We start from the raw sequence: 7,874 nt of genomic DNA on the forward strand, positions 1-7,874 counted from the left end.
AAGTTCACAAAAGATTATAAATTTTTTTTTGCAATAAGGAGTTAGTCAAGGCCAGTCGCGGTGGCTCACACTTGTAATCCCATCTCAAAACAAAAACAAACAAACAAACAAACAAAAACAAAGAGTTAGTCAAAACAAGTAGCTTGGCCGGATATGGTGCTCACGCCTGTAATCCCAGCACCTTTGGAGGCCGAGGCAGGCTGATCACCTGAGGTCAGGAGTTCGAGACCAGCCTGGCCAACATGGTGAAACCTCATCTCTACTAAAAATACAAAAACAAATTAGCCAGGCATCCACTGTGGCACAAGCCTGTAATCCCAGCTACTCAGGGAGCTGAGGCAGGAGAATTGCTTGAACCTAGGAAGTGGAGGTTGTGGTCAGCTGTGGTCAAGCCACTGCACTCCAGCCTGGGTGACACAGTGAGACTCCATCTCAAAAAAACAAAACAAACAAGTAGCTAATTTTTGGAAGACTTTTTGCAAGGATTAAATTCACAAATCTTAGATGAGCCAAGAGCTGGAAACTTCCAGCAGATGCAGTCAGAGAAGTGAGTAAGAATGAGTCTTACCCCTTGCATTTATTGGGTTCTCTTATGAGATTTAATATGATAAATGAGCACGGTGGCTCAGGCCTGTAATCACAGCACTTTGGGAGACCGAGGAGGGTAGATCCCTTGAAGACAGGAATTTCAGACCAGCCTGGCCACCATGGTGAAACCCCGTCTCTACTAAAAATACAAAAATTAGCTGGACTTGGTGGCACGTATCTGTAATCCTAGCTACTCAGGAGGCTGACACTTGAGATTCACTTGAACCTGGGAGGTTGCAAGATTGCACCACTACACTCCAGCCTGTCTCAAAAAAAGAAAAAATTAATTAATTAATTAAATATATGTATATATTTATCATATTTTTACATGATTTTTATATATGATAAATGAACCAATTAGACTCCATTATGTTTTTCAATGCCCCACTCCCCAAATTTGCCACCATTTAAAATTCACCAAAAGCTAAAATTTGGATCATTGCTTTATGACTAAAAAGTCTGTGAATCTGCTACCAACTATAAAATCCCTTCACAAGTGTATATTCCCTTAGGAAAGATCAAATTCATCAGAAGGGCAACTTTCAAGAGTATGAATTTTAAGCCATATTAAGAGTTCTTCCCAAAGCATCTCAGAGAAACATGTTCAGAAGTCCAGCCTCATGGCCACAGCCCAAACAATCCTGGAGTTATTTTAGTGCTCTGCGATATTTTCGTCCCCATCCTTTGTCCTCCTTTTCTATAGTATCGATTTCAGGATTAGTATCACTATCATATAACTACACACACACACACACATTAAAAACCTGTATGTAGGTATATTTTCATGTTGCCATTTGCTTCTGATTATCCTTGATCTACATGCATATATGCTTTTAAAATAATGAGCCTTATTTATTTTTCCAATTTCATTTTACCTTAGAACTGTTCATTTGCATAAGAGTAGTCAGTGAAATGTATACTTCTAATTGTTCATTTTTACTTGTGTCAAAACCAGATATCCTTCATCTTTTTTTCCTGACTTTACATCGTTCACAAGCACAACCCATTTCCTTCAAAATTTTCTCACTGCACACAGTAATTTTCCAGTGGTAGGAAAGAATGCTTCATGGGTATTTCAAAACATCTTCTGTCCTAACCCTTCGTTCTTTTCTCACTTTGGATCTCTGGTGTCTTCCCACACAAAAAGGGGAATATGCCATCTCCCTTTAGGAAATCAAGATTCTAAAATATCTTTCCTCTCTTGACCGTTTTGGACTGTGGGTATTCATAACCTCACATATAAAATTGGCATAAATGTATTTATTTATTTATTTATTTATTTATTTATTTTATTTATTTATTTTGAGACAGTGTCTCGCTCTGTCGCCCAGGCTGGAGTGCAGTGGCGCGATCTCAGCTCACTGCAAGCTCTGCCTCCCGGGTTCCTGCCATTCTCCTGCCTCAGCCTCCTGAGTAGCTGGGACTACATGCGCCCGCCACCACGCCTGGCTAATTTTTTGTATTTTTAGTAGAGACGGGGTTTCACCGTGTTAGCCAGGATGGTCTCGATCTCCTGACCTCGTGATCTGCCCGCCTCGGCCTCCCAAAGTGCTGGGATTACAGGCGTGAGACACCACGCCTGGCCTAATTTATTTTTTAAGTAATAAGCTTTAATCAGTTATGATAAAACATCAGTTATGAACCACATTGTTAGTTTTTGTTACTCTTCTTTCACTATTATATTTCAGTAAATATTGCCAAATGCATTTTAATTGTCTTTGATATTTTAATAGCTTCATGTACCCTTGAAGAGATGTGCTGCCAGTCTAATTATTTTCAAAAAGTTAAATTATCCCTCAAATGAGACTTTCTTCATTTTAAAATTTCCTCATCTACCCATAGTGTTTGTTGATAGATTTCCTCAACTATTTTCTAGGTCTCTTGTTTTCTCTTGTGTTGTAATTAATCAGTTAGTGTTTTCATGCATAGGGAAACACATGTTGTTCTCATCAAGTTTCTTTCAGTTGCTTACTTAATCTTCTTCACAGCTTCCAGAAATATCTTTACTCCATCTGTAGAATTACAGGTTTAGAATACAGTTTCCTTTCCAGGTTATTGACTCTGTTTTCCCCTGTGATGTTGCAATTTTTGTTCACTAGCCAAGGAGTATTAACTGGTGTACTCATTCGTTTGGGAACTTAATTTTTTGGGTTCTATTATTTTCCTTTTTTAGGTGACATTATTTTTTTTTTACTGCATATAGAAATAAGGAATAACCTGACACTAGATGTTACTTCCTCTACCGTACCATCTTTCCAGAACGCCATAGACTTGTACCACAAAATACAGTCATTTTTAAATAGTTGTGCTTGATTTTTTTCTTGTTAACTTCCTATGATGATTGCTGCACGGTATAGTAAAATAGATGAGCATATTATTTTAAAAGTATTTTTCATGCCTTTAACAGGCTTTGTTTGCTGTGTAAGGTTTGAACACTAAGTGATAATGACCCATAATATAAACTAATTCATGCTCATAGATCCCTCCAAGTAGGGATTTCGAGTAAATTAGAGGCAATCTTTTTCAACCGAGCAACTTTTCTTAGAGCACAGAACAACTGCCATCCTCTGCCTTGATGCGGGGAGCTGCAATTGCTGAAGGTAGATACGTTCACGACCTAAGTTAGAGTTTAGCCTTTAACCTTACCAAGGGTATCATTCCAACAGCCATCTACCTCACCACCTAAAGCAGGAAAACGAAATGTCTTTTCTTTTGTCATTGGCTTTCTACTCCATTAAAACTATAGAGAATAGTTGGTATAACTGTAAAATATAGAGCCTCTTCCCAAGGTTAAAATGGGTTGTTATATTTTGTCTTTCACACACACAAAAAAGACCTCCTGCTTCTTTTTCCTTCAAGCAGGGAAAAGTGGCAAGTCTGTCTTGAACCATTGTGCCTTTCACATTCTCCTCCCCAAAGCCATTTAAGCTCCTTCGACCTGCTTCTCTATTTCAAGAGGTCTTTTCTTTACATTTGCATAACTTAAAGGTATCTATCTCCATAACAAAGAAACCCATTGCCTGGAAGGTGTGTTGGAGTTTCCACTTCTCACCTAATAAAGACTTCTTGCAGTTTTTAAATAATGAAATGTGAGAGACTGGGGAGATTACACTCTGTCATCCATGCCTCCGGCTTTTTTCAAAACCCATGGGTCTGGGAAATCTGATACAATTCTGCATAGTCTGCAAGACATAGTGCTATGCATTTATTGCATTCAAGTTGTTTTCATCCCAATTGAGTGCTGACTGTGTACCTGGCTCTGTCTGTCAATGAACAACAAAGACAAAACTTTCTCCCCTCATCCAACTAGTAAAAGGAGCACCTGTCCTGAACAAAATGAGGAAGTTAAATGTGTATTATATAGCTGTGAATACTATTAAAAAAAAAAAAGGAAAAAGGGGAGATTTGGAGCTAGGGTAGAGAGAGCTGTAAGTCATTCAGGCAAAGTTCCAAAGGAAGGAAGAGTGTTACAGGCAAAGACTAATGGAAGGAACAGGCCTGGAGACTGGAGCATGCCTGGGGTTTTAGAAGAACTGCAAGGAAGCTAAAGATAAGAACCCAGAAACTACAGCACTTAGAACTCCTATGACTAATATATGATTTCGCATTTTCTTTTTTTATTTTATTTTATTTTATTTTATTTTATTTATTTATTTATTTATTATTATTATACTTTAAGTTTTAGGGTACATGTGCACAATGTGCAGGTTACTTACATATGTATACATGTGCCATGCTGGTGTGTTGCACCCACTAACTTGTCATCTAGCATTAGGTATATCTCCCAATGCTATCCCTCCCCCCTCCCCCCACCCCACAACAGTCCCCAGAGTGTGATGTTCCCCTTCCTGTGTCCATGGGTTCTCATTGTTTAATTCCCACCTATGAGTGAGAATATGCGGTGTTTGGTTTTTTGTTCTTGCGATAGTTTACTGAAAATGATGATTTCCAATTTCATCCATGTCCCTACAAAGGACGTGAACTCATCATTTTTAAGCTTTCTTGACCCTGTTGCATCTGAGATCTCTAAGCTGTCTTAAGAACTCCGTAGCACACAAAAGGAGTTAGAAGCATCCTTCAGCATTCCCTGAAGCTTAGGCCAGTGTATTCTGAGCAACCATTTCTTCTAAATGCATAGACCCTCATGAAACCTTTTTTGGATCTATTTTTGTTTTTCTTACCCCTGGCTGTGTTCGTAATTGCTTCACGATGACATCTCATTGACAGATGCAAGGCTGCTGACACCACGCCAGACTCTCTGAAATGAAATCATTTGACACCTGAGGGGATCTGGGCCTTCTGGACTCTTCATTCCTGGCTGAGAACTCTGTGCCCTACTTTGAGGGTTTGAACCCTCAGGGAAGAAGCTAACTTAGGAATTCTCGTTGCCCTCATTGCTCATCTCTGAGCTACCTTAGCACCTCAAAAAGGGCCCGCAAATCCTGTCCCTTTCTTTATTCACAAACCTCAAATTTTGGTGACAGAGTGCAGGTGCCACAGGGACTTAGAGTCATGGTTGAACAAGGAAGGGCTGTACGTTCAGATGCCTACAGAGGCTACTCCGGTCACATATGTCAGCGAGAAGTTAGATAAGTGAGATCCACAGCAATTGTGAGCTTGTGTGTCTTTAGGGGAGAGCGAATTCTCAGATCTAGCCAGTCATTGAAATGTGGAAATAACAGTCCAGTGTTTCCAAATCTTATCGTAAAAGACAAGACAGCAATCCAAATATTTGTATGAAATTTCCTGATGTTTTAATGCTGACAACTAGTAATCCCCCCAAAACAAACAAACAAACAAACAAACAAAACCACTGTTGAATTACACCAAACAAGAGCTATCTGTAGCCTGGGTTCTGCCTGGGGGCTCTCATTCTATGACTTCTGAAACAATCATCTTTGATCCTGTCACTCATTGTCCATTTCATGGTGTTTGTGGGAGTTTAAAATTTTTTAAATAAGATGTGGAACAAGGATGGCAAATAATTTCTAAATTGCATGTCACCTCTGATTTATTAGCAGTGGCTGCCGTGAGCACTACATTTAGGATTCTGAGGCTGTTTCTAGGTCTGCAGAAAAAGCATGTGTTAAATTATCAATGTTGAATGATGGTACACAAGGCCTGTATTTGCAATTCCCCAACCAAACAATCCCCATGAAGGTTAGTGTTGGTGCTTGAATAAATGATTTCAGTTACTCCTCCTCCTTTCTTAGCTCTTTAATTCAAGTGTGCTTCTCTCATCTACTGTTCCCCAAGGCCTGGGAAAATGGAGCACTGACTTTCAGCGAATGGCGGAGGCGGGGGTGGGGTGGGGGTCCTGCCAGGTCATCAGGTGTCTTTGCTTATAACTCATGAGGCATAAATCAAGCCAATGCATTCAACACTACAGGAGGAGAGTAACTGATCTATCACTCAGACACCTGTTATAATTTTTTCAGATTTCTTGTGATGTAAAAATATCAGAGCAAAGTTGTACTACTCTAGACCAATCAGGCTCCAGATGATAAATATTTTAATCTGAGTTGGTATTCTAGCTCATTTTAATATATCAAAATGAGTTTACTTTGGAATAAAAATGACCTTAAATACAAATTTCAGATACTTTATTTTAAAGAGAAACAATAAAAACCAACACTGGAAAACAACCTACAACATTTAATTATTTTTAGTGTTTTAGTTCTTGATAGGGAAACTGAACCCAAGAAAGTAATTGAAAAATGTTATCCTCCACAAGTATATCTTAGAGGTAAGAGCATTTGAATGTTAAGAAATATATATTTTTAAACGTCCACTTATGTTTACTTTGGAAGGAATTTCTTATAGAAAAATGCTAGCAAATAGATAAGTTCTTACCTACTAATTCACTCTGTTTTCTCATAATCTTCTGACAAAATTTCAGTCAAAGTAATCAATGGTCTGCAAGCTCCCAGTTTCCAACAATTGCTAACTCAGTAACTAACATCAACTACTTGAGTCAATAGAATAGGTAGTAGTTGGCCTATATGTGATTTTAGACCACATATAGAGGATTTGATATAAAAAAATCTCCCCACAATGCCCCAAATCTCTTCTTCATCAACACGATGTTGATGCCTGAAACTCAGCAATCAGACTCCTTCTGAATTTTTATAATTCATTATTGCAATATTGTTTAATTGGAGTATCAAAATGTCATTGTCTTTGAGACTATTAAAAAATAGTGCTTCAATATAAACTATTTATTGTCTACAGTACATTCTTCCATTTATTTGATTCTGATTATATAGATTTCTTCCAATTGTAACTTGTAGGTAGCTAATGGCATTGCAAAATAATTTTTGTCCATAGACATGCAACTGAACTGTTCTCCCGCTGTGGAAAAAATAGTTTTGTCTCCATTTGCACATTTATTTCAATAGTCTTGATCTAGAAATGTGTCTGTTTAATTGTTTGTTTTTGGATTTTCTTTTGAATTGCTTATAATATCTGCCTAGTTCTCTCACTGAACAATGAGTTAAGTAAGATCTTTAATACATGTTTGCTTTATATCTGTATGAGTCATGATTTTACTTCTTTTTGAAAATTATCTTTTAATGATATTTTCCTATTTGATCAATATAAATTCTTGACAAGTAATTCCAATATTTATCCACATTTATGAAAAAAGACCCTTTGAAAAAGTAAGAAACTTGATTAATAATTTGCAATTTTATTTTATTCTACCAAAATGTTGTTGATAAATGTGTTTCTGAAAAGTATATTCCACAGCTATGTGTCCTGACCTATTTTATCCTTAAAATCTTATTTAACTTCAAATTTTGGAAAATGTAATAAGGAAAATAAACAATTAAAAAGCAATTTAAAAAGTAATTATTGAGCACGTGCTCTATTCCAGACTTGCTCAAATATCTGACCAAGGATCCCGGTATGCGTCTCACTTTTGAAAAGCCCTTTTAAAGTCCATCTAAGAGCAAATTCATTTCTCTAGCATCTACTGAAAAACAGCCAGTCAAAGAATATGTTCCACACCCTCCAAGTGTTTCTCCAATGTAACAGCCACTGTCAGCAGGGTGACTGGGCCCCTTCCCCAGGCTGTCACGTCTGATGCTTCCTTCAGTGACCCGGCCTTCTAATTCAGCTTAACCCTTCTCCCTTCAACCTCAGCCCTGTCACCAGGACAGCCTCTCATTCCACTCAGTCCTGCCTTCCAGTGGGAATCGGATGAGCGACTCTACATCCATGGTGGTCAAGGAAATGGGTTGCCGTGATGTGGGAGTGGAATTCGAGGTGCAGACCTTCTATTGTTT

General features: G+C 38.0%; 3 annotated features.

The window, feature by feature from the left end:
* Positions 3,432-3,726: a silencer, noted in NCBI's record as "tiled region #402; HepG2 Repressive non-DNase unmatched - State 24:Quies". NCBI's record gives its function as "represses a minimal TATA promoter and a strong SV40 promoter by Sharpr-MPRA in HepG2 cells {active_cell/tissue: HepG2}" and the evidence as "EXISTENCE:reporter gene assay evidence [ECO:0000049][PMID:27701403]".
* Positions 3,432-4,181: an enhancer, noted in NCBI's record as "OCT4-NANOG-H3K27ac hESC enhancer chr13:35474449-35475198 (GRCh37/hg19 assembly coordinates)". NCBI's record gives its function as "activates a minimal SCP1, AML or CMV promoter by ChIP-STARR-seq in naive and primed H9 embryonic stem cells {active_cell/tissue: H9 hESC(naive and primed)}" and the evidence as "EXISTENCE:reporter gene assay evidence [ECO:0000049][PMID:30033119]".
* Positions 4,932-5,681: an enhancer, noted in NCBI's record as "NANOG-H3K27ac-H3K4me1 hESC enhancer chr13:35475949-35476698 (GRCh37/hg19 assembly coordinates)". NCBI's record gives its function as "activates a minimal SCP1, AML or CMV promoter by ChIP-STARR-seq in naive H9 embryonic stem cells {active_cell/tissue: H9 hESC(naive)}" and the evidence as "EXISTENCE:reporter gene assay evidence [ECO:0000049][PMID:30033119]".

Source organism: Homo sapiens, chromosome 13 (genome assembly GCF_000001405.40).
Source record: "Homo sapiens chromosome 13, GRCh38.p14 Primary Assembly".
Lineage (NCBI taxonomy): Eukaryota > Metazoa > Chordata > Mammalia > Primates > Hominidae > Homo > Homo sapiens.